This window comes from Homo sapiens, chromosome 11 (assembly GCF_000001405.40).
Source record: "Homo sapiens chromosome 11, GRCh38.p14 Primary Assembly".
NCBI classification, from domain to species: domain Eukaryota; kingdom Metazoa; phylum Chordata; class Mammalia; order Primates; family Hominidae; genus Homo; species Homo sapiens.
The window spans coordinates 87,011,461-87,038,193 of record NC_000011.10 but is presented as its reverse complement, the minus strand read 5'-3'; the positions used below and the strand labels follow the sequence as shown (position 1 = coordinate 87,038,193).

The window sequence follows — 26,733 nt, the reverse complement described above, 5'->3', positions numbered from 1 at the left end:
GTCTCACCAAGTACAGAGGAGCATAGATCTTCAGGGACTCCTCCAGGGCGCCCCCGGTGATCTGCAGGAAGGAGACCCGGCAGGAAGGGTGCCAAGTGTGGCCGATCTCATAGCAGTTATGAGGGATGGACTTGCTGAGGGCCGCCATGACGAGGAACAGCGCGGAGAAGACAGGAGGGGGAGAGCCTGAGCCCTGCAGGGAGGGGCGCGAGAGCCCAGCCGCCAGCCTCTCGCCCGGCCAGCACTCGGAGGTGCGGAATGGAGGGGAAAGGTCACGAGAGCGGGGTTACTCTGGGCCAAAGTCCTCGGATGTTGAGCGCTCGGCGTATCGCAGCTCAAGGGGGCGGGACGCGCACCGGGGAGGCGGGGAGAGGCGGCGCGTGCGCGCTCCCTCAAGAGGGCATCCGCTGGGGCGCGTTCCCGCGCGGCGGCGCGGCTGGGTGAGCGGAGGCAGAGAGGATCTTCGCACCCAGAGCCGAGGCTGTACGCGAGGGAGCGCAGCTCGGGGACGAGCCGCCTCCCCACCCCCGCGACGCCGTGCCCGGCTCCGGGGCGCAAGCGCTATGGCAGGTGCGCAGTAGGGGGTGGCTTGGGTCAAATTGTACTTCAGCTTCCAACTGCAAGCCAAGTAGAGCGGAGGGTAGTGGAAGAAAGGGATTAAATGTCTTTGTTGGGAGCTGGTGGAGGAAGAGGGTTGCCAGAGGAATGCCTGGGACAAACGTCCTCCCCAGCACCGGGAGCTTGCCTTCCCGAGAGTCCCAGGTAATAAACAGCTAGGGCTGCCTGCTAGTTGCAACTAACTACCCCCAAGTGCTGGGCTTTCCAAGCTCTGTGATACCTGCGAAGGCTTGAAAAGTCTCAGCTATGTTCATACCCCGACCGTGTGTGGGGAAGGGCAATAGGTCATCCTGTCCAAACCTTAGGCCACGGAGCAATCCTGTCTACAGCATCTTTGATAGGTGCTTATCAACCAAACAGCACACACAGTAGAGGCGGCAGTCGTGTGTTAGAACTCAGACCTGGCTAGGGAACTTGGCCAACAATTAGCAAGACAAGGGTCCTGTGTTGCTTGAGTCATATAACCCCTCTGTCAATCTCCTCACATGTAACAAACCTGCCAGTTTCTTTGGATTTCTAAATTCCATAGTCTCTTAAAGCAGAAACGAACTACCTTTAGAAGAATTCCATTCGAATCTTCTAGTCTTCATTCATTCATCTACAAATATTTACTGAGTCATTACTATTTACCAGGCACTGTGCTAAGGAAACAAACAGAAACAAGAGAGACAAGATTTTTATTTTCACGAAGCTAGTATTCTAGAGGGAGAAGACAGAAAATAACAAAGAAAACTGAACAAGATAATATCAGATAGGTGTAGTTGTTTGAAGAAAATAAAAGAGAAATACTCAGATGAAAAGTCCAAAACAACAATGGCAAAAAGATAAAAGTATCTTTCTCTCAGGTAAAGGTAGGCAGTCCTAGAATAAAATGGTGGCTCCATAACGATTAGGGATCCCAGCCTCTTTGTGACAGTTTGCTATGCCATCTGCTACCTGTGATTTCCACCCTAACTTAGAAAATAACATGACATCAACATGCTAGCCAGGAAGACCAGCAAAAGGGGAAGAGAGGCCGGGCGCGGTGGCTCACACCTGTAATCCTAGTACTTTGAGAGGCTGAGGCGGGTGGATCACTTGAGGTCAGGAGTTTGAGACCAGCCTGGCCAACATGGTGAAACCCTGTCTCTACTAAAAATACAAAAATTTGCCAGAAATGGTGACACGCTCCTGTAATCGTAGCTACTCAGGGACTGAGGCAGGAGAATCGCTTGAACTCAGGAGGCAGAGGTTGCAGTGGGCCAAGATCACACCACTGTTGCCTTGGCAACAGAGAGAGACTCTATCTCAAAAAAAAAAAAAAAAAAAAAACGGGGGGGCGGGGGCGGGGAGAAAAGGGCATACTTCCTGTTTTTAAAAAAACTTCCCAGAAGATCCATACAAACTACTACAACTTACGTTCCTTGGACAAAGCTTAATCACATGGCCACACTTCATTGCAAGAGAGGATGGTGAATACAATCTTTTTTAATTAATGGGACAAATGCCCAGCTAACATTTGAGGTTTTATTACTGAGCAAAATGGAAAAAACAGATATTAGAGGCAACTAGCAGTGTCTGCCATAGTTCTATGTCTCTGGCTACCCAAATATCCGGGCACACCATTCTTTCTACAGATAGACATACCTTCCCTTTTCCAAGGGAGACAACCTAAAATTCCATGCAGTTGCTGAATCCTAGCCAAAGTCCAGAATATTCCTCAGGACCAGATGCAGATCTCATGATAAAGTTATCATCCGCCTCAACACATCCAATATACAATGGTAGAATAGGAACAAGATAATCACAATTTTTTTCAAATCTCCAATTCAGAAACTAAGAAGATCAAAAACACAGCATAAACTTATCCAAAAAATTACAGAAATAGCAGTGCAGGCTTATTTTTTTTCAATAATCCATTCCTGAATATCTGTGATCCTTTCACAAGAAAATGCTGAATAGGAACTTAGTTTTAAATGGGAAAAAATAAAATGCATTACATATCAACCAAAAAATTCTTAACAAGTATTTAAAACATAGTATCAAATATTAACAAAAAATGATCATGTTAAGATGTACAATACTATACAAATAACATCTTATTCACCAAACAATTAATACGAGCTGGGCACGGTGGCTGATACCTATAATCCCAACACTTTGGGAGGCTGAGCTTGGTGGATCACCTGAGGTCATAAGTTCAAGACCAGCCTGGCCTATGGTGAAACTCCATCTCTACTAAAAATACAAAAAGTAGCCAGACATGGTGGTGGACACCTGTAATCCCAGCTACTCAGGAGGCTGAGGCAGGAGAATCACTTGAACCTGGGAGGCGGAGGTTGCAGTGAGCCGAGATGGTGCCACTACACTCCAGCCTGGGCAACAGAACAAGACTCCGTCTCAAAAAAAAAAAAATTTTTAATATGATTGTTAACTCTCAGTTGCTTCTGAATGTAATAGCACAATATAGTTTTCATGCCTGATAATAAACAATATGTTTACTATGTGGCCCAGCAATTACACATTAATAAATAAGGAAATTTTAAAATTACAATTAAAACCAGGTGGTTTCTTTTAGTTAACTGTTTTTTGTTTGTTTTGAGACATGGTCTCACTCTGCTACCCAGGCTGAAGTGCAGTGGCGCAATCACAGCTCACAGCAGCCTATATCCCCTGGGCTCAGGAGATCCTCCTGCCTCAGCCTCCTGAGTAGCTGGGACCACAGGTACGCCACCACACCTGGCTAATGTTTTTAAATTATTTGTAGGGTCTCCCTGTGTTACCCAGACTGCTCTTGAACTCCTGGGCTCAAGCTGTCCACCCACCTCAGCCTCCCAAACTGCTGGGATTACAGGTGTGCACCAACACACCTGGTCCTAATTAACTGTTAAATGGAGACTTGAAGCATAAAGAAATTTGAGAAAAAGGGGATGGTGCCAAAGGGGACAATGCTGATGAGCTGGGTGGCAAAGGGGTGATTTCAGGGAAACTCCCAAGTTCAAAAGAAAGGATACTCTATCTTTTCTAGTGCTGCTATGGAGATTCCAAAACAGGAAGGCATTGATAAATCCTCAGGGGAGATGATCTGTGCTTTAGGATGCAAAAAAAATTGCAAAATGGAGCAGTATGCAGTTAAACCAGTAGCTTACATTTGTAAATTTCTTTATATGGTATTATAAGATATAGCAGGCTGTTTTTTAAAAGAAAGCCTTCTCTTCATGCCACCATTAAGTTTAAAGATAATGTTAAACATTGCATCTGCATGGGTCATTTATTCTTTTAGGTTGGCTATGACAGTGGCTTGATTGGATACTTTCTGGGGGCTTCATTGTTTCTTCTTTTTCATTAAAAAAACGCAGGGAGGGCTTTAGGGTTCATCAACAAGGTGAAGCAAAGAGTTTCTCCAAAGAAGGTGCACAGTGGATGAAGAAAACTAATCTGGCAATTTATGATGGAATTCAAAGGCTTTGAAGAAACGCCAAGATGAAAATTGTTGCCCCTTTCTTTGTGATGGAAGAATGAAAAAAAAAAAAAAAACACAAAGTTGTTGCTCTTGTAGGATTCTAGTTTTGAAGATGTCAACGAAAAAGAATGGAAGAGCTCTTAAGATCTAATGCAGAGGATTTAACGACACTAATCTAGTTTAGATCTACATGCAGTCATTGTAGAAATAATTATCAGGCACAAGTACAATGGCAAAGTACGGCAAACTCGAAGTATGACACTGTAGTAGCTCTTGATTCCAGCAACAGTCAGTAACCAAGCTTTTCACAAAGCTACATATGATTCTGATTTTCTTTTCTTTTCTTTTCTTTTGAGACGGAGTCTTGCTGTGTCACCCAAGCTGGAGTGCAATGGGACGATCTCGGCTCACTGCAAACTCCGCCTCCTGGGCTCAAGTGATTCTTCTGCCTCACTAGCTGAGATTAGTGGCACCCACCACCACACCCGGCTAATTTCTGTATTTTTAGTAGAGACGGGGTTTCACCATGTAGTCCAGGCTGGTCCCAAACTCCCTGACCTTAGGTAATTCACCTGCCTCAGCCTCCCAAAGTGCTGGGATTACAGACATGAGCCACCATGCCCAGCCATAATTCTAATTTTCTACTAATTTTTGTTGCAACATAACTTCAGGTTTTTCCTTACGTCATTTTATTTAAAATATTGAGTTTCTAATATGTAAATATAAATTTTAATATTCAAATCTGGAGTATTAAAAGATACATATGCCCTTTCAGTCCAAGTAGGCAGTGTGTCTGCCAATACAATTCTCTTTAAGATTTTGGGGACTTCATATATATCAAATTATAATCCACTCCAATAGAAAAAAAAGCCACACTCACAAACCTCTGAGACAAACACTTTCCGTCTTGGGCTGAGAGTAAGAAAGCTGATGGAAAACACCCTTATACACTTAGAAGTGCTTTTGTCTAGCTGAAATGGTCTAGGTAAAATGGCTTTAAATCTTTGTACAGTCTTTACAAAAAATCTAAATAGCTGCACCCTGGATTGTACCTTCCCCTTAAGGCAATGCCTTAGTTGTTTCACCATCTGGAGAGGCTGGAAGTGAAAAGCAGTTTTATTTTTGAACCCAAAGTTCCCAGACTGTGTATATTTTCTCTAAATTTTGCTTAAAAATGAAATTGTTCCTTTTATATCTCACCTCTCTACATCTTATTCCACATAGGTTTTTTTTTTTTAATCAGTTGGCATTTTCAACAGTCTGTCTGGAAATTTCCTTAACTGCAAATACACCAGTTTGTTAGATATATTTTCTATTTTCTGCATTTCAGCATGCAACAGTGTTGCCAAACTTTCTGCCACTGCATAACAGGGATCCCTTTTTCTCCAGCCTTTCCTAACAGTTTCCTCCCTTCAAGCCTTCAAAGATTGTAGAAAAAACTCTCAAGTGGCCTTACAAAATATTCAGGTACATACACTGTCTAGAATTCTCAGCATCTATATTAGTTTGATGTTACCAGTACTTGGAAGCTACAGCTAAGGACACCATTCTCTCCAAACCCCTACCACTCCAACCACAGAATGTAAAAGTAAAAGATACTTTTGGAGGCTGAGGTGGGAGGATCACGAGGTCGGGAGATCGAGACCATCCTGGCTAACACAGTGAAACCCTGTCTCTACTAAAAATACAAAACAAATTAGCCGGGCATGGTGGCAGGCGCCTGTAGTCCCAGCTACTTGGGAGGCTGAGGCAGGAGAATGGCGTGAACCCAGGAAGCGGAGCTTGCAGTGAGCCGAGATGGTGCCACTGCACTCCAGCCTGGACAACAGAGCAAGACTCCATCTCAAATAAATAAATAAATAAATAAATAAATAATAAAAAAGTAAAAGATTTATGATTATTCTTTGAGAGGAAAAACACAAAATCAACATGTAGATGTGTACAAGGAATGCTTTAGAGGCCAGCCACATCTCTCTAAAAACAGTAGACTTATGCAATAACATATCTGTAGAAGACAAGTGTATTGATAGAATTGGAAGAAAAAAAAACGAGGAGCCCCCTGAGGCAATTCAGGTGCATGCCTGGGAATGAGAACTGCAGCCCAGGGACCTCAGGAATTAACTATGAAATGGGATGCATAGCTTCTCCTGGACAGATGTCATTAAATAACTGACTCATCTAACTAATGTTTTCTTTCTGAGAATAAAACAAACTTTTATTACAGTTTGGCTTCCCATGCAGGTCTGTCTTGAGAGACAGAATGGTTATATATTAGGTAACAGATATCCTAGTTTGTATGACAGGTTTTAATTTTCTATTGTTATTTAATAAATTGGCAGCTTGATTTATGCACTCATTTATAAGCTTGTTTTATATCACTTAGCCTGAGAAAGGAAGAGCCTCCCTGATATGCTTCCAAAGCCAGGTTTTTTACCCTGGTTGTTTGTGGCAATAAATTCTGTATTAGCCAAGAATGGTTAGGCTATGCCGAGATACCACATACACTCTAAATCTCAGAGAATTTAAAATAAGAAAGATTTATTTTGTGTTTACACAAACTCCAAAGCAGACTGGCCAGTTCTTCAGGGCAAGGGCAACCAGTGATTCAGGAATATAGCCTCTTCCATCTGCACTGGGCCTTCGTCAGTGGTCACTTTTTTTAATTTTTTCCTTGCTTCTTTGATTTTTCATGTGTGCATAATTTTTAGTTCTTTTGCATAGCAGCATGCACAAAATTTAAGTGTACAGCTTGATGAATTTTTAAATTTGCCTTTACTGAGACTACTATTTGCCCTGAGACTGCTATGCAGATTAAAAAAAAGTATTTCCATCACCCCAGAAGGCTCTTTAGTGCCCCTTCCCAGTAAATACACCTGCAAACAGAGGTAACCACTATTCTCACTTCTAGCATCATAGCTTCATTTTGCCTGTTCCTAAAGCTTATAGTAACAAATGCATACGTTGAATATTTTTTGTGTCTGGCTTCCTTCACTCAAGATCTTATGCATGTTGTCGTATGTAGCTATAGTTCATTCATTTTTATTGCTATATTGGGTCTATTGTATGAATATAGCACAATTTTTTCATTTGAGGACATTTGTGTTGTTGCATGTTTGAACCTACTATGAATTACCCAGCAAGGGACATTCTTTTACTTGACTTTTGTAGACGTATGCTTTTGTTTTTCTTGAGCATATACCTAAGAGTAGATGTGCTACGTCATGGGGCCAGCATACATTTAACTTTCGCAGATACCAATCACTGCTTTCACTTTTAAGGGCCAGACCTGGAAGTGGTTTACATCACTTCTGCTTACATCCCACTTCCAGAACTTAGTCACATGTCCCCAACCTAACCACAAAGGAGGATGGAAAACGTAGTCTTTCCATGTAACCAGGAAAGGAAAATGAAATGAGATTTTGTTAAGCATTTTGCGCCATCTCTGTCACAAATATCAACTGCAGGGTCAGGCTACCTGTAAGACAACCAGCTAACCTCCAATGATTCTCTTCCATCTTTGTGAACTGTATGACTCTCTTTTCTTAAATGAATATATGTGCAATAGTATAGCTTACTATAAATGAACTAATGCAAACTGATCATCACATAATATATATATAATATATATTATATATATGTTATATATATTATATATATATATATATATTTTTTTTTTTTTTGAGATGGAGTCTCACTCTGTTGCCCATGCTGGAGTGCATTGGCACAATCTCAGCTCACTGCAAGCTCTGCCTCCCGGGTTCATGCCATTCTCCTGCCCCAGCCTCCTGAGTAGCTGGGACTACAGGCACACGCCACCACGCCCAGCTAATTTTTTGTATTTCTAGTAGAGATGGGGTTTCAGCCCGTTAGCCAGGATGGTCTCGATCTCCTGACTTTGTGATCTGCCCACCTCTGCCTCCCAAAGTGCTGGGATTACAGGCGTGAGCCACCACACCTGGCAGTTTTATATTTTTAACAAAATTCCAGTCATCATAATGCCCCTTAAGGACAAGATCTATTTCTGACACATCTTTATTATCTTCTGTACCACATAGCACAGTGCCTTGTACACAGAACATGTTTAATATTTAATAAAAGAAGTCTTGGTGGGAGAGAAATTTGAAAGCACTGTACTCTTGTTAAGGCCGGTTGTGGCTCATGCTTGTAATCCCAGCACTTTAGGAGGCCGAGGCGGGTGGATCACCTGAGGTCAGGAGTTCAAGACCAGCCTAGCCAACATGGCAAAACCCCGACTCTGCTGAAAAAATACAAAAATTAGCCGGGTGTGGTGGCACACACCTCAGGAGGCTGAGGCAGGAGAATCGCTTGAACCCAGGAGGCGGAGGTTGCAGTGAGCAGAGATCGCGCCACTGCACTCCAGCCTGGGCAACAGAGGGAGACTCTGTCTCAAAAAAAAAGAAAAAAGAAGAGTTAGTTACTTTGTATTCTGCCTACCATTCACTCAGATTGCAACATTTGCCCCTAAGCACAGAGCTTACCCCTTTCCTTATCAGAAGCCTCTGCCAAACATAGGAACAATGTCTTATTTGTTGACCATATTGTAACTCTCAATTACTCATTCTGGGATTTGCTATGTCCTCAGTGTTCTTATTGCTATGCTGTGTGCCTGTTTTTGATGGTGAGGCGCCTCTTTCTTTTCACAATTCCTTTGAAAATCCCTGCATGACATGCAGTACCAGCATTTTATTTTACTTTTGTGAAGGTTCTACTGCTTTTTTTAAACAATACTTTTTTTTTCTTGAAACTCAAATACTTAAAACAACTGCAAGTACTTTGAAGTGAGGGACCATCTCTTGTATTTCTTTGTGTGACAGATGGTGCTCATAATAGGTTATCAATATAATCTTTTAAAAGAAATGCTGTTGTTTGCCTTTTGCAACTGACAGTCTTGCTTGCAAAACTGAGACACATTTTTGCTGAAAGTAATTCAGAGAATTGATCTATATCAAATATATTAAAATCTCCAAAACTGCAATTTCCTCCAAAATTAACACAGCCCCTTTAGTGCCTAGCCCAGGATCTACTATATAGGCACACTCAACCATTTGTTCGATTAGTAAAATGCAGAGATTATATATACTTACATAGTTAAACCTCTATAGATAGCACTCACAGTAACTTTCTTATTTAAAGACTCAAATAATGGGCCCTATATTTTTTCTCTCTCTAAAGTTTTCAATATCTGTTTTCCCAAAGTCTTAAGTACATGTCTAAACATGCTCATCAGTCATATCCTTGCACATTACAAACACTACAAATTCTAAGATGATACAGATACTTTTTATCAAAGATCTTGTCACTTTCACGGGTACAACTCAGTATCCTATTATAGTTAGAATCAAGTCCAAAGGCAGAGGTTTTTCCTTATTAAGATTACTTTGTAAAAGACAAACTAATGTGCAAGAATTTATTTGATGATCTGCTTTTAATAGAATAAGACATAATGATAGTTGAAGACTTCCTTGCTTACTAAATCTCTTTGGATTAGTTTGTAATCCCTTTTGGAAATATATTTTCCACATGGTCTGATGGACAAAGCCATCTGTTATATGCACTCAAAATAATGCATATTTCCTTTTTTTTTTTTTTTTTTTTTGAGATGGAGCCTTGCTCATTTGCCCAGGCTGGAGTGCAGTGGCGCGATCTCAGCTCACTGCAACCTCTGCCTCCAGGTTCAAGCAATTCTCCTGCCTCAGCCTACTGAGTAGCTGGGATTACAGGTGCACGCCAACCTGCCTGGCTAAATTTTGTATTTTTTTTCGTAGAGACAGGGTTTCACCAAGTTGGCCAGGCTGTTCTTGAACTCCTGACTTTGTGATCTGCCTGCCTCAGCCTCCCAAAGTGCTGGAGTTACAGGCGTGAGGCACTGCACCCAGCCAATAATGCATATTTTCTATCTCTTTTTAAAAATATTATCAACCAGATTCTTTGTATTTTGTGCCTATTCTCATGTTTGAAGATTTTCTTCCTTAAAATACTACATTCCATATATTTTTAGTCTGACTATAAATTAGCAATATTTTTAGAAGAAATTTTGGCAGGATCTATAAACATTTTACTTTTCTTTTTTGTAGAGATGGGGGTCTCCCCATCTTGCCCAGCCTGGTCTCAAACTCCTGGGCTAAAGCAATCCTCTCACCTCAGCCTCCAAAAGTGCTGGGGTTACAGGAGTGGGCCACTATCAGCATTTTAAATGTCTCTATCCTGTGACCCAACAATTATACTTCTAGGCCTCTATCCTATAGAAATACCAACAAAAAACTGAATCGTGCATTATTTATAAGAGCAAAAAAGATTTAAAATAATCTAAACGTTCATATTAAATAGACATGTATAAACTTATATTTATATCATCGAATGCAGACAGCAAAAAGGATAAGGTAGATCTGCACATGCCAATATTGAAGAATATTTATGATATTCAATTGGGAATAAGGGGAAAAGAGCACAAAGTATTTTATATAGAGTGAGCTCATTGTTTAAAGAATAAAAGACATTGGGTGTATGTATATATATATATATTTCTATATATGTTTATGTAGTCATTAAAAAAGGTGTAGGAGAATATACAACAAATAAAGGGATAGGCAGAGCCCTTTCACCTTTTACTTTATATATAATATATATACACTAATATATTATTTAATTTTTTCCCAACTAGTATGCATTATTCTTACAGCCCAATACTTCCTTCTAAAGAAATTTTTCTTTTGTTAGAGTTTATTTTTAGGTAATGAGTGTTAATTTTTCTGAATGTATCATTATTTTGCCTTCATTCTACCTCAAAATAATGACAATTTTGTTATCTATAGAATTATAAACCGGGCTCACATCTGTAATTCCGGCACTTTGGGAGGCCAAGGCAGGTGGATCAACTGAGGTCAGGAGTTCAAGATCAGCCTGGCCAAGACGGCAAAACTCCATCTCTACTAAAAGTACAAAAAATTAGCCGGTCATGGTGGTGCTCCAGCTACTTGGGAGGCTGAGGCAGAATCGCTTGAACCCAGGAGGTGGAGGTTGCAGTGAGCTGAGATCATGCCACTGCACTCCAGTCTGGGCAACAAGAGCGAAACTCCGTCTCAAAAAAAAAAAAGAATTATAGATTCCAAGTAAATTTCCCCTCAGAAGTGTTCATAATATTCTCTGATTGTTGTTTGTATTTCAGTGAGGTCAGTGGTAATAGCTCCTTTGTTGTTTCTGATTGTGTTTATTTGAATCTTCTTCTCTCCTTTCTTCTTGATTAGTCTAGCTAACAGTCTATCTATTTTTTATTTTTTATTTTTTTCAAAAAACCAGCTCCTGGATTCATTGTCTTTTGAATGGTTTTTTGTGTCTCCGTCTCCTTCAGTTCAGCTCTGATTTTGGTTATTTTTTGTCTTCTGCTAACTTTGGGATTTGTTTGCTCTTAGTGCTCTAGTTCTTTTAGTTGTGATGTTAGGTTGTTAACTTGAGATCTGTCTAACTTTTTGATGAGGGCATAGAGTGCTATAAATTTCCCTCTTAACACTGCTTTAGCTGTGTCCCAGAGATTCTGGTATGTTGTATCTTTGTTCTCATTAGTTTCAAAGAACTTCTTGACTTTTGCTTTAATTTCATTATTTACCCAAAAGTCATTCAGGAGCAGGTTATTCAATTTCCATGTAATTTTATGGTTTTGAGTGAATTTTTTTTCTCCAAATTCCTGGCTTAATAAGGATTTGTTTATTTTGAGGAAAAAAGGTCCCAAACATCAGGCTGTTCACAAAAATAATTCACAGTATCAACTTTAGAAAACAAATCATAAGACAATAACAGTATTTTTCTGGAGGATGCATTTGACTTGCCAATTCTCATTCACAAAATTACATTGTTACATTTGTGTTGAGCTGCCCCACACAGCACATTTATGTGGGGGTGTAACACACATACTTCTAACTCAAAGCTTCTTTCAGGAGCTACTCAACTCCTGAGATTGGCTTTGCAGTTAGGGAAGCATTTACTGAACTTATGTATGAATAAAAAGAACTGTACTCCCTGCATAACAAGAGATTATTTTGGAGACAGTTGATAAAACCCATACATCCTTTTTATTGTTAAGTCACAAAGAGGTTTCAAAATTAAAAGCAAAAATTACAGGGTAAGACTTAACAAAACTACCAGGAGCATCATAGGAAGTGAAAATGGGACTAGGAGCAGGGCAATATGAATTAATGAACATAACAAGGACAAGGATTGGGAGAACAGTGAGCATGTGCTGAAGATACTAGGGGAGAGGATCTGGTGAAAATTTTGATCTTAGACAAGCACCTAGGTAAATAAACAATGGGATAAGATTTCCAAAACCCACCATGTGCTTAAGAGTCATCCTCACCATTGGCGCTGTCTCTGTCATCCTCTCCTTCCTCAGCCTCTTTTTCATCATCCTTGATCAACTTCATCTGGTCATCCCCCATCTTCAATATCATCATCATCTAGTAGGTTCCCCTTTCAGGAGAGACATCTGCATCCCCCTCAGACTCCATCTTCACATTAGTCTCATCTCTCTTCATGGAGCTGATGCTCTGCTCCTCTTCTGACTTATTCTTCATCTCTACTGCTTGATTGCTCTGTTCCTTTTCAATTTTTTCCAGGTTATCCAGGAGATAATCCAACTTTTGTTTTATCTGTGTCAATTCCTTCTTAATGGCCTGAAGACCATCTCCTTTCAACTTTCCAGACTTGGAAGATTCCCACTATTCACTCTTAGAATTGAAGCTACTTTTGGCCCTTCTTTTTTTTTTTTTTTTTTTTTTTTTTTTGAGATGGAGTCTCACTCTGTCACCCAGGCTGGAGTGCAGTGGCGTGATCTCGGCTCACTGCAACCTCTGCCTTCTGGGTTCAAGAGATTCTCATATCTCAGCCTCCTGGGTAGCTGGGATTACAGGCGTGCGCCACTATGCCTGGCTAATTTGTATTTTTAGTAGAGATGGGGGTTTCACCATGTTGGTCAGGCTGGTCTCGAACTCCTGACCTCGTGATCCACCCACCTTGGCCTCCAAAAATGGTGTGATTACAGATGTGATCCACTGCACCCAGCCACTTTTGCCCCTTCTTGAGGTGTTTGCTGAAACACAGTGGCATTTTGATGGTACTACAGCCCAAGAAATAGGAGAAAAAGAGGAACATGTGCTAAGTAACTGTACATCCTGTCATAATAATCCCACTGAAAGTCATAGTCCAAATCAAAAGAGGAGCCATATGTCTCTGCTACAGATCATTTCACACCTGCTTTTCCTAGGTTCACTTTTGACTCTGCAGCCAGGATAATATCTAAAACCTGGCCAGCAATCATTCTGCCATTCTCTCCCGCTACAGCAGCCTAGGCATATCTCTCATTAACATACTGAACAAAGGCAAAGTTCTTATGAACCGAGCAACTCACAATTTTGCCATACTTTGAAAAGATTGCCTCCACATCAGACTTCTTGACCACAAGAGTGTTAAGATTCCCAAAGAACACACAGGAGTTCATGGAGCAAGGATCTTTCTTGTTGGTAACATTGCTGGCCATTGTGTTTGATAATAAGATTTCTCATAACGCTGAAAACAGGATGGGGAGGGAGAAGAGGTTCGATTCTGGGTCTCCTACTCCTGGGTTCTATGTGAAGACAGCCAACTGCTGCTTGAGGTTGGCAGCAATGGGCCACAACAGCTCAGTCTTCGTCTCTTCACAAAATGTTGAGTGAATTTCTTAGTCTTGATTTCTAATTTGATCATGCTGTGGTCCGAAAGATTGTTCATTATGATTTCAGTTCTTTGGCATTTGCTGAGGAGTGTTTTATTTCCAATTATATAATCGATATTAGAGTATGTGCCATGTGACAATGAGAATAATGCCTATTCTATTGTTTTTGGGTAGACAGTTATGTAGATATCTATCAGGTTCATTTGATCCAGTGCTCAGTTAAGGTTCTGAATATCTTTATTAATTTTCTGTCTTGATGATCTAATATTGTCACTGGGGTGTTGACATTTCCCACTATTATTGTGCGGGAGTCTAAGTCTCTTTGAAGGTCTCTAAGATCTTGCTTTATTAATCTGGGTGATCTTGTGTTAGGTGCATGTATATTTAGATAGTTCTTGTTAAATTGAACTCTTTACCATTACTTAGTGCCCTTGTCTTTTTTTTAACTTTGTTGGGTTAAAATCTGTTTTGTCAGAAACTAGGATCGCAACCCCTACTTTTTTCTGTTTTCCGTTTGCTTGGTAGGTTTTTCTCCATCCCTTCATTTTAAGCCCATGTGTGTCATTGCATGTGAGAAGGGTTTCTTGAAGACAGTAAACCAATGGATCTTGGTTCTTTATCCAGCTTATCACTCTGTATCTTTTAATTGGGGCACTTAGCCCATGTACATTTAAGATTAGTATTGCTATGTGTGGATTTGATCATGTCATCATGATGTTGGCTGGTTAGTTTGCAGACTTGTTTATGTGGTTGCTTTATGGTGTCGCTCGTTTGTGTATTTCAGTGTGTTTTGGTAGTGACTGGTAACTCTCTTTCCTTTCCATATTTAGTGCTTCCTTCAGAAGTTCTTGTAAGGCAGGTCTGGTGGTAATGAATTCCTTCAGCATTTGCTTGTCTGAAAAGGATCTTATTTCTCCTTTGCTTATGAAGCTTACTTTGGCCAGATATAAAATTCTGGGTTGGAATTTCTTTTTTTGAAGAATGTTGGCCAGGCGCAGTGGCTCACACCTGTAATCCCAGCACTTTGGGAGGCCAAGGCGGGTGGATCACAAGGTCAGGAGTTTGAGACCAGCCTGACCAACATGGTGAAACCCCCGTCTCTATTAAAAATACAAAAATTAGCCAGGATTGGTGATGGGCACCTGTAATCCCAGCTACCTAGGAGGCTGAGGCAGGAGAATTACCTGAAACTGGGAGGAGGTTTCAGTGAGCTGAGATTGTGTCACTGCACTCCAGCCTGGGTGACAGTTTGAGACTTCATCACAAAAAACAACACTTGTGATTGCATTATGAAATTTTTTTTTCATAAAAAAGACTGCCCTGTAAGCAGGCATGGCCATGCTGGGGCCCCGGGAAAGGCCAGCAAACCAAGAAGTGCTCAGGTTGGACCAGCCCCATCTGATGTGCAAGACTGCCCTGCAGAGATCAGGTCTGACAGCTTCCCTGGGGCTAAAGTCTCTTAAGAGAGCAAGTCAAGCCTAGAGGGATGGCCATCCCTGGCTGTGCTCCACTACAAATACTCTGGCACCAAACCCTCTGGGCTCCACATCAGCTGGCTTGCTGCCCCCCACTTCTCTAAGTAGCTCTCCCTGCTACCTCAAGTGTCCATGGTGGTCGAGGGAGCCGTTCCACTTGTCTGCTTCTAGTGGACAACAACAATACAGAAGTTGTCCTCCTCTGTATTTTATTTTATGCATTTAAAGGTATTATTCTGAGAAGCGATCCATAGTCTTCACTAAACTGCTAAAGAGATTCCTAGAACAAAAACATTTTTTAAATGCCTGCATTAGATTGATTGTAAAATTCCTGTAACCTCCATATATATCTCTTAGCTTTTCTTTCTGTTTCAATCTTTCTATCTTTTTATCTCTTTAGCTAGGTGACAGAGATCTAGAAGGCCCTCAGTTACGGCAATACATGACCAACAACAGCAGCTTTGAGGTGGGGAGAGCCACAGCTCACTGCTCTGGTTTCTTATTTACTCACAGCTTCTGATCCAAGGGACATCTCTGTCTTGTTTTTGAACATTCATTAATTTTTTTTGTCAGTGCTGCAGTGTTGTTGAGGGAGGAAGAGATGATCAGTATGCATGTGGTTGGCCATCTTAAAGCTGGGATGCATATATCCATTTTGCATTTATTTATATATATATATATATATATTTTTTTTTTTTTTTTTGAGACAGAGTCTCGCTCTGTCGCCCAGGCTGGAGTGCAGTGGCGGGATCTCGGCTCACTGCAAGCTCCGCCTCCCGGGTTCACGCCATTCTCCTGCCTCAGCCTCCCGAGTAGCTGGGACTACAGGCGCCCGCCACTACGCCCAGCTAATTTTTTGTATTTTTAGTAGAGACGGGGTTTCACCGTTTTAGCCGGGATGGTCTCGATCTCCTGACCTCGTGATCCGCCCGCCTCGGCCTCCCAAAGTGCTGGGATTACAGGCGTGAGCCACCGCGCCCGACCCCATTTTGCATTTAGAAAAAGAAGGGAAAAATGCAGTCATACATTCTTGATCTTTCTTTAATTTTTTTTCTTACAAGAATATACTCTTCCAAAGCTATTTTACAAGTGAGAAAACTACAGGTGGTATAAGCTAAGCATTTATTCAAAGTCATGTAGTTAGTTAATAACAGGGATGGGACTAGAATGCAAATCTTCTGGTTCCTTCTATAATACCTGCCCTTTTTAGCTGTCTTATGATATACTCTTCCTCTCCAGGAGTGAACAGTGTTAATATTACAAGCCATAGCCTAGAAAAATCATTCTGTTATTTATTTTGTTATTGTGCCTATGGTTCTCTTTGCCTGAAATACTGTTCAGTTGGTTAGTCAACAGATAGTTTAGAACACTTGAGGTGTTTTCAAGCACTGACCACCAAAAATGCAACATTGAGCAAGATCCAGTCCCTACCCACACGGAACTTATAGTCAGTCTAGTAACAAAGATAAACAACAAACAAATACTTAATTTATCTTCCCTTCTTTTGGTGACCTTCTATTCACCTTTCAGGATCCAACTGAAATGCAACTTCTCTGTGAAGCCTTCTGGGTAGAGTTAGTTGTCTTTTCTGAACATGGTCCACACATCTGTTATCAACTGAGAACAGGGTTTTTATTTTAATATTTTAGTTAACAGTGTATTCTGTCACCCCACTCACCTCTATTCCCCGACCAGGACATGGCAGCTTTGCTTATTCATTTTGCTATCTACTTCAGGACCTAGCACAATGCCTGGTACATGGTAGGCAATAAACATTTGAATGAATAGAACTGAAGGCAAGAAAACAGAAAGTTCTTTATGGCTCATTTCTGTATACTGCATACCTACTTGTCTTTTTAAATTTAAAATGGCATTCCCCATTGATGATTTTTAAGTCTATGATTGGCAAAAATCTATTTTCATTGTTTGGGCTAGTGGCCAAAATAAATGGAAAGAGACACGTAAGCACTTGCCAGCTGTTGTTCATTACAAAACCTTAAAGTCTATTCAGAAACTTATTGAGAAAATTCACCTTTTGTTTCCATTTATCTGAGTTGACAGTCTCTACAACCTAAATCCATTAGAATCCACACCTCCAAATTCATTTAGTTCTGTATGACCTATGATTACAGAAACCGAATCTCTAAAGAATCTCAATTTCACTATTTGACTAACTCTAATTCTTAAAGCTTTATAAAATTATTTTTGAATTATTGTTGACAAGCCAGGTATCTAAGTTTCAAGAAAAATAAATCAAAATTAGTTCCATATTTATGTGGCCGTGGAAAAGGGAAAAGGCTGTGTCCCCTGGAAGGAGGCAGCAGTTTCCCTTCTGCTCTCTTTTTAGGGCTAGATTCCCCTTTGTGAGTGATCCCCTTAAGAAAAGCAGAGACCCCTGGGAGTAGGCAGTCACACAATACTTGTAACCAGAGCCCTAATTAAAAATGGGCCTGAGATCTGTGAAGGCTAGAGTGGGGATGGTGCCTTGAATGTTGTAATTTCAGAACTTCATGTAGTTTTTGCAGGAGGTAGAAACTTTCATTCATCTTGAGGCAGATTCATCCTTGGTTTGAGGATAATTATCTAAATGGACCAGGTTAGATATGCTTATATTAAGCCAGATCCTTTTCAGGAATGGGAGTTTGACAGCTGTATCTCTAGAGAGCTAAACTTTTCTGCATAGTAATAGCAAAAATTGTCTTTATTATGGGCAAAGTTATATACCAGCAGTTTACTATGCCTTTGGGGAAATGTTTCCTTTAAAGTGTGGGTGTAGGCTACCCTAGCCTGGTTGGTATTGTTTATTGTAGTAGAAATGCTCATGCTTCCTGTTTAAACAGCTTCTCACAGGAGATTGGGAGAGAAGACTTTAGGACTGCAGAGAAACTGTGGTTCTGATTTTGAGTTCATGCTGGATAAAATGTTGTAAAAATAATGGGACTGGGCTAGGCTTAATGCTAAAAGACTGGCCTGCTATTCTGTCATACACAGTAATATTCAAATGCAGATTTTGGAGAATATGCCCCATTGGATATTTTGCTTTTACATGGTGATATCACAGAGACCGTAGGGAGAGGCCTGACCCCATGAATGGGGGAGGGTTGGAGTTTACCCACAGGAAATAAACAGGAAAAGAGGATATGGGAGGCAGGCCTGAGACTAGAGAGACAGAGGGAGAAATGTGGTCCTCTCCTGGGCTCCTGGAGATTGAGGCCTGGACTTTTAGCAGAGCAAACTCACTGGAGGTTGCCCCTGAAGGGAAAAGATAAACAGACACTGCCAGAAGGCCCAAGTTTGAGAATAGGGAGACACTCCCAAGACAGGGGTCCCCAACTCCTGGGCTGTGGACCAGTAGCAGTTCGTGGCCCATTAGAAACCAGGCTGCACAGCAGGAAGTGAGCGGCAGGCAAGCAAGCATTACCACCTGAGCTCCACCACCTGTCAGATCAGCAGCAGCGTAGGAGCTGGAACCCCATTGTGAACTGTGCATGATAGGGATCTAGGTTGCGGGCCCCTTATGAGAATCTAATGCCTAATGATCTGAGGTGGAACAGTTTCATCCCAAAACCCTCTCCCACCACCATTCATGGAAAAATTGTCTTCTTCAAAACCGGTCCCTGGTACTAAAACGGTTGGGGACTGCTGCTTTAAGAGCCCAAGGCAGCCTATGCTCTAGCTTGTGGACTCTGAGAACATTCAGAATTAGTAGACATTTTTGTTTGTCAGTTTTATAATTCCTTTCTCATATCCTTAAACGTTCTGCAAAATAATGATACATATTGCAGTTTGGTCTTCGTCATGCTGTGGGAAATTAAAGGGTCTGTGTCCACCTTTGGGATCATCTAGTAAAGGGAAGAAAAGCCTTTCTCCCCCTGAGACCAGCATAGCTGCAGTGGCATCAATCCTGAGGTTGTGGGAGATGAGGGGTGACAGTGGTGGAGCTACGATGAGCAATCTGCCACCACAGGGACAGCTAGGGCAGTATGGGTTTGTGGAACATGGGACTGACTGGGAGGTACAAAGACCTACTTGTGGAGAGGGCCTCATAAAAGATAGGATTTTCTGTCATTAGATGAGATGAAAGTTTGAGCCACAGTAATTTGGACATTACAAGGTAAACCTGACCTCCTCTTTAATCACCATCTGGTGCGTCCAGGTAGACTGGGTATATGTATATGGAGCACACCATAAAACACAGTCTTTGTATCTTAGTAACCTGTTTCATGGGTTTGCAGAATATAAAAGAAAACCGAAATGGGTTCCCAATCGAATTTGTGGAAATCTTATTGATCATTTTATAGCCACATTCCATGTATCCATTTGTTAGTACTCCAACCAGGTAATGAACCCCATCATGTGCCAAGTAGTATGGTGGAAACCAAAGTCGATCCACTGACATGTAGCTGGTGTCAACTCCTCAACACTCAAGGTAGAATTATGACAGCATATACAATTTTCCTATTTAAATGAAAAGTGACTTGAGTCCCCTGATGTTAGGTTTGTCTCTTTTTTAGGACCCCTTTCCCTTCTTCTAGCTCTTCTGAGAACCCTGGAGGGTATACACATTCCAACTGGGAGATCCATTTGATTTCTGCTTCAAGTTAAGGTAAGCCCTGATATCCAAGCACCCACTGCTTTTCCTGCATGCCTCATAGTGTTGCTGTTGAAAGTTGGCCTTCCACTGTCAGCCAGGCCCTGCAGCAGCTCAGTGTCAGACACTGCTGCTGATCCAGTTTACTACATCAGCTAGTGTGGTACTTTGATGGAAGGTGTCTTCATGAGAGACTCCATTCTTTTGATGCCATGATCAACAGAGAATGTCCCTTGCTGGATCTCCCAGTCTGCAGCATTTAGTGCTCAGTCCTTTGCATCACATAAAACCATTCCCCTTCAATCCCCACCATCACCCCACCTTCACTCAGACTGGCTGAAGTGTTAGCACCTCGCAGACTGCAAAACCAGAGGCCAGCCCACTTTCCATTTCAACTGTAAAAATACAAAAGTGCTATATTCATATTTCTCACAGACAAAAGGCCCTTTCATGCCCTCAGCTAAAGTGACTATCTAGGTGGTCTCCAGGGCCACCTCTCCTGGCAGCAGTTTTCTGTTGACCTTTAGACACAAAAGCTCCTTCCTTGGCAATAGGATTTAGAAAGCTTGCCATGAATCCCAAACTCCAAATTCCAGGATTCCCATCTATCACCTCCTGAGAGGCAATTAGCTTTTGTGTCTCAATAATTCATGCCCCAAGGCCTCCCAAAGCAGAGGAGACAAAACTTATGTTTAGTTCCTTGCAAGGCATTCTTGTGTCAAAGGTTAAAAGACAATCTGTGCCTCTGTGATTTCCTATCTAATAGGGAAGATATGTATGGAAATTAAAATAAAAGTATAATGTAAGATATATGGGTAAATAGGCCGGGCGTGGTGGCTCACGCCTGTAATCCCAGCACTTTGGGAGGCAGAGGCGGGCAGATCACAAGGTCAGGAGATCGAGACCATCCTGGCTAACGCAGTGAAACCCGTCTCTACTAAAAATACAAAAAATTAGCCGGGTGTGGTGGCAGGCACCTGTTGTCCCAGCTACTCAGGAGGCTGAGGCGGGAGAATGGTGTGAACCTGGCAGGTGGAGCTTGCAGTGAGCCGAGATCACACCACTGCACACCAGCCTGGGCAACAGAGTGAGACTCTCAAAAAAATAAATAAATAAAGATATATGAGTAAATAAAGGCAGAGGCAGAAGTGCCTAACTTTCTGGGGGTTCTGGAGGGATAGATGAGAGGAGTTCAAATAATTTTAATTATGCCTCGAAGAAATAGTAGCAGTTTTCCTGATGGATAAGGCATTAAACCCTTTCTAGGTATGCATTCATATATCACTAATTCAATAAGTATCTACTAAGTATCTGCACAGTGAGTGACACTATTCTAGCTGCTGTGGGTAGAGCAAGAAGCAAGGCAAACAACTCTCCTCCTCTCTTGGAGGTGGAAGGCAAAGAGCTATGCAGGCAGCTTGTTGTCTGTGTCCTCCATGTGGCTGAGTCACACAGGTTCTCCTAGAGGGCTGTCTTACCTGGCTAACTATGCCCAAAACAATGAGCATCACCCTAGACATCTTCCACTAACATAAAGCGGGTCAATATTTGTTAAGCATTTACTGTATCCCAGGCTCTGTCTGTTCTATATCTATTATCTCATTTAATTCTCACAACAACCCTATGAAGATAGTAATTTATGACCCCCGTTTTACAGATAAGGAAAACAGAGATACTCATGATCAAGAGGATTGTCTAGGGTCAAAGACTTCATAGGTAAAGGAGCTGGATATGAACCCAAGCATTTTGATTCCAGAGCCTGGACCCTCAGTCATTTTGCTTAGTCCCGCCAACATCCCTCTACTGCCTCTTTTAATTACACTGCTTCCTCTTCTTCACTCCCTGGCATCCTCTGCTCCTAATTCCTCATGCTTATCTTTAGTTACTTGTCTCCTTTCCCTGTCCTGTACCCACTCACTATCTTAATGGAAGGCAATTAGCTGGGAAGGCAGGCAGGAGCTACCCTCTGACTGCTCTCAGAAATCAGGGGGTTTTACTTCCAATTGAAGTTTCCTGCCTAAATGCCATACCTAATAAGGGAGTATGACAGTCTCCCACACAGCAATGAGAAAGAAAGGCAGTTTCAGACATCTCTGAACAAGTACTTAGCAATATCTGCTATCTATCATTTCCACTGGACTAGGAGCTCCTTGGAGCCTGCATTTCAATAATCATCTTTGTATTCCAGGTAAAGACAAAATCCGGGTTCTATCCCAGTACAAATCACAGAAGGCACACATGCTGTGTAACACTTTTTTTTTTGTAAAATGGGAAAGTACAATTGAATTTAAAAATTATTTTTATTTAGATGTTTTGTATCTTTACCATAAAGTGATTGATGATTAGAAGCTGAGGAGAATTGATAACACAAGAAGATAATGCATTTCGAAGAGGTTTTGGAAACAAACAGCAACAGAAAAAGGTAAGAAGAGGCCAGCTGCCGTGGCTCACACCTGAAATCCTGAAATCCTAGCACTTTGAGAGGCCGAGGCAGGTGAATCATCCGAGGTCAGGAATTCGAGATCAGCCCGGCTAGTACGGTGAAACTCCGTCTCTGCTAAAACTACAAAAAAATTAGCCGGACATAGTGCTGCATGCCTGTAGTCCCACCTACTCGGGAGGCTGAGGCAAGAGAATCACTTGAACCTGGGAGGCAGAGGTTGCAGTGAGCTAAGATTGCTCCACTGCACTCCAGCCTGGGCGACAGAGTGAGACTCCATCTCAAAAAAAAAGTAAGAAGAATTATCAATTATAGAAAGAACCAATAATGATGATAAAAGTACCAATAATAATTACCATTGTATTGCATTAAACACTGTTTTAGGTGTTTGCCTATGTTATTAGCATTTACCCCTCATTCTTATAACAAATCATTTTATGGATGAGAAAATTGAGACTTGGAGGGTTTAAGAAACTTAACCTCCAGGTGTGGTGGCTCACACCTGTAATCCCAGCACTTTGGGAGGCTGAGGCGGGCAGATCATCTGAGGTCAGGAGTTTGAGACCAGCCTGACCAACATGGTGAAATGCAATCTCTACTAAAAATACAAAATTAGCTGGGTGTGGTGGTGCACGCCTGTAATCCCAGCTACTCAGGAGGCTGAGGCAGGAGTATCACTTGAACCAGGGAGTCAGAGGTTGCAGTGAGCCGTGATTGCACCATTGTACTCTAGCCTGGTGACAGAGCAAGACTCTGTCTCAAAAAAAAAAAAAAGTGTGTGTTTATCTATCTCTCTATATATACACTTAAGAGTCTGCCTTTACTCTTGTCTAATTACCCTTTCTTTCCCAAAAGGTAACCATTTTCTTTATGCATTTACACACACACACACACACACACACACACACACATACACACACACACACGCATTGGGTTTTCTTTTTCATAAATGATATAATGGACAATATTGAGTTTCAGGCCTTTTCATATTTCAAAGCCAGAATAAATATACAAGGACTATAACCTGTTTATCATTCTAGGCCTCTTTTCTCAAGGCCCTCCAATCTCATTTGTACTGTAGCCACTGCAAATACATCACAGGCACTGGGAATTGGGCTGCATTAGAGAAAGAGGTGCATCAATAAGATCTCCCTGTGACATCTGACCTTGTAGAACCTCTCCTCTTGTGGCTTTAGCACTCCAAAACCAAGCTGAGAAGAAAAGGATGGAAGAGGAGAGTAGGGGAGAAACGTATAGGCCCCTTGGGCCCTTGGATGCCTGGGCTGTTAGGGTTTGGATACAGTTCTCGCTAGGACTCTAAACTCTTTTGCCTCTTATAGCCAGAGGCATAGAGTTTGAAGCATGTAAGATTTTGGGAAACATGCAACTGACCAAGGTCTAATCATCAATGATTGGAAGTGAAATGTGCAATAAAAGCCAACTGGGAGTTAACTCAAAGGCATTATGAAAGTTTGCTTCACTGAGTTAAAATTATAGCCTTTTGTCCCAAATTTCTCAACAAATACTCTATAGAAATTTTTAAGCCCCAGAGTCCTTAACTAATGTTATTTAAGGCAATTTTATGTGTCTAATTGTACAGATTCTTCGCTAACTTTTGAGAAAGAAATGATCTCAAAATACCCTTGTGTCTACTGATATTTCAAGGTAAGGGAATGCTCTGGAATGCTTCCCATTTTCCAAATGTAATATTTTCCAAAATAAACTTGGGAGTAACTGCATGGTTGATATCATGTGAACATTTTAATTCACACAATCATATTCTGGAGTTTATGGGAGCTTGGCTTTTTTCCAGGAGGTTTGGAAGTCCAAAAGCCGGCTGTTTCTTTTCTGTGGGATAAAGATGGAGCATGTGAATCAGAACTGGTAAATTGGAGAGGAGGTCACAAACCGAATGGAGTTAAGCAAAGTGCAGTGCAATCTGCAGTGGGAGAAAAGCCAGTTGTACAGAGGGGAAGGACTGGTTACCATTAAAGTCTTCAAAATTGGGACCTCAGAGGAGAAATGAGTGGAGAAATGAATGGAGAACAACTCCTTGTTTCTCTCCCTCTCTTCTAGAGGATGGGGCTAGTGTAATGAGATCCAGGTACAATCCTTGAGATATCAGGGATCCCCATCCTGGTCTATTCAGAAGTCCCCCAAACCTTCAGTGCCTATAGTTCATGTACTGCCTCTTCCAAAGAGCCTGCCTCGATGGCTTGATTGCAGTCATCAAATGACATCTCACTATTGAGATGATGTGTTTCCTTGTCCTTTTCTCAATGGAATGTGAGATTCTTGAGACAAAGATGTAACAGGCACACAATAATTATTTGTTGAATGTTGGCTGTATCAGCTTCTCTGGTTGGAAATAATCCCCCCTCCTCTGAGTTCCCCTGGTGCTTTGCACTTACCTCACTCATGTGATCTTTTTCACATTCCACTTTATACTATAATTTCTGTATTTTTTTAGCTCCACTATTATACTCAAATTCTTCTGCAACAGAGATGAGATAATGCATGTAAAGCATTAGTACCATGTCTGCTGAATAAATGATAGCTATTATTATTTGTGTAATGAGGCACTTGGAGGAGCAGAAAATGAATTTTATTTAAAAAAACAGCTTTGGAAAATCACATTTGAATAGATCTTTATTTTGCAAGAGTCACTTGAGTGAATTACAATACTACAAGAGACCTACTGCCTTGGAAGAAGGGAATAATACGATGACTTGGTCTTGAAATATCTGTTCAGTGCTAAGCTGCACAACTTCAGGGGACATCATCCATATTGTAATAGATTGTGATGGACATATTCTGAGAGGCACAATGTGGATGGTACCCCTGGAGTTCTGCAAGGAAGCTGCCCTGAAAAAAGAAAAGGAAAAGAGGCTTTGACCCTTTATCTTTGAGGTCCTAGGTTACTGGTCCTCAAATGGATTGATATGGTACTCACTGAGAATTATCAGCAGGAAAGAAGAACAAGGGCCCCAGAGAGGCACTTGCCATAAGGGAAGGGCTGTCTGCAGAGCACTGGGCTCAGCAAAGCTTTCTGACTGAGGCTAGATGCCATTGGGAAACAAGGATGGACCTGAATCACTGAAGGGCCACTGTAACCTTAAAATCTTTCTGGGCTCTCCCCAGCACCAGTCAGAAACACCAAGGTAGATCTAGAAGTCTCTTTTCCTCTCTATTTCACCAGCTGCTTTTCCTCGAGGGTCCAGGAAGTTGAGACTGATGTTTTAATTTCACTTCAAATATACCATCCTGTACTGTGTATGCTCAGCAAGTGTTAATGACTGACCGGCTAGCTGGTTGAGTGAAAAGTTTTAATATTGAAAGAATTGGAGTCATTCATTATTATTTGATTCCAGACATGAGACAGAGTGGCAATTTGAGGAAAATAGTCCCATGTGATTTTGTGTGTGTGATTTTTATTATTAAAAAACTAAATCTATCATTACATTAAGAAGCTTTCCTTTTATAATCTTTTAACCATATAAACAAGAATATTCTCAGCCCTACCTTCTCTGGCCTCAATGTGGCTGTGAAGATCTTGGGCCTGGGTCAGTCAACACTAGGTCTGAGTCATGTTTTGCAACCTATTTGTTCTGTGATCTTTAGCAACTCACTTAAGTTCCAAGCGTGTTTCTGGTGTATAAAAGGGGACAACAATTGTACATGGTTCATAAAATTAGATGTTATGTGTCAGACACTAAACCTGACACAAAGTAAGCACTTAACAAATGTTAGCTGTCACTATTATTTCCTTCATCACCAAACTCCACTCTGCATCCTTTTATTATTATTATTTTTTTTTTTGAGACGGAGCCTCACTCTGTTACCCAGGCTGGAGTGCAGTGACATGATCTCGGTTCTGCCTCCCAGGTTCAAGCAATTCTCCTGCCTCAGACTCCTGAGTAACTGGGACTATAGGTGTGCGCCACCATGCTCAGCTAATTTGTGTAATTTTTAGTAGAGACGGGAGTTCACCATGTTGGCCGGGTGGTCTCGAACTCCTGACCTCAAGTGATCCACCTGCTTCAACCTCTCAGAATGCTGGGATTACAAGTGTGAGCCACCATGCCCCACCTCACTCTGCATCCTTTTGCAGCTTCCCTGTGTTCATACTTAAATATACTACAATCCAGTACCAATGACCCTCACACTTTGATGGGGTTTTTTTCATGGTTTTTTTTTTTTTTTTTTTTTTTTTTTTGAGATAGAGTCTCACTCTGTCCCCCAGGCTGGAATGCAGTGGCGCGATCTCGGCTCACTGCAAGCTCCACCTCCCAGGTTCACGCCATTCTCCTGCCTCAGCCTCCCGAGTAGCTGGGACTACAGGCGCCCACCACCATGCCTAGCTAATTTTTTTGTATTTTTAGTAGAGACGGGGTTTCACCATGTTAGCCAGGATGGTCTCGATCTCCTGACCTTGTGATCCAC

The 26,733-nt window shown here is 41.5% G+C and overlaps 1 protein-coding gene, 1 long non-coding RNA gene and 1 pseudogene across 4 annotated transcripts in view, besides 3 other annotated features; 1 reads left to right on the top strand and 2 right to left on the bottom strand.

Annotated features, from left to right (window-relative positions):
* TMEM135 (transmembrane protein 135) overlaps positions 1-260 on the bottom strand; it is a 290,891-nt gene extending 290,631 nt beyond the window's left edge. For all 3 annotated transcript variants that reach the window (NR_033149.2, NM_022918.4, NM_001168724.2), the window contains exon 1: positions 8-260. Coding sequence is in view for 2 of the 3 variants with exons in the window: in NM_022918.4 (NP_075069.3) it covers positions 8-148 (141 nt within the window). In the remaining variant the exon portion in view is untranslated. The remainder of the gene's footprint in view (positions 1-7) is intronic.
* Positions 239-628: a silencer, noted in NCBI's record as "silent region_3831". NCBI's record gives its function as "represses an Ori minimal core promoter by ATAC-STARR-seq in GM12878 lymphoblastoid cells {active_cell/tissue: GM12878}" and the evidence as "EXISTENCE:reporter gene assay evidence [ECO:0000049][PMID:35858748]".
* Positions 239-785: a biological region, named in NCBI's record as "H3K27ac hESC enhancer GRCh37_chr11:86748451-86748951".
* Positions 285-785: an enhancer, noted in NCBI's record as "H3K27ac hESC enhancer chr11:86748451-86748951 (GRCh37/hg19 assembly coordinates)". NCBI's record gives its function as "activates a minimal SCP1, AML or CMV promoter by ChIP-STARR-seq in primed H9 embryonic stem cells {active_cell/tissue: H9 hESC(primed)}" and the evidence as "EXISTENCE:reporter gene assay evidence [ECO:0000049][PMID:30033119]".
* LOC105369422 (uncharacterized) lies at positions 399-25,753 on the top strand. Its single transcript, XR_007062827.1, has 5 exons — positions 399-570; positions 19,774-19,865; positions 22,183-22,272; positions 23,891-23,955; positions 24,104-25,753. It is a non-coding gene; the product is annotated as an uncharacterized LOC105369422 (long non-coding RNA).
* On the bottom strand, positions 12,418-13,610 carry HNRNPCP8 (heterogeneous nuclear ribonucleoprotein C pseudogene 8; annotated as a pseudogene).
* Positions 25,754-26,733: the final 980 nt, after the last annotated feature.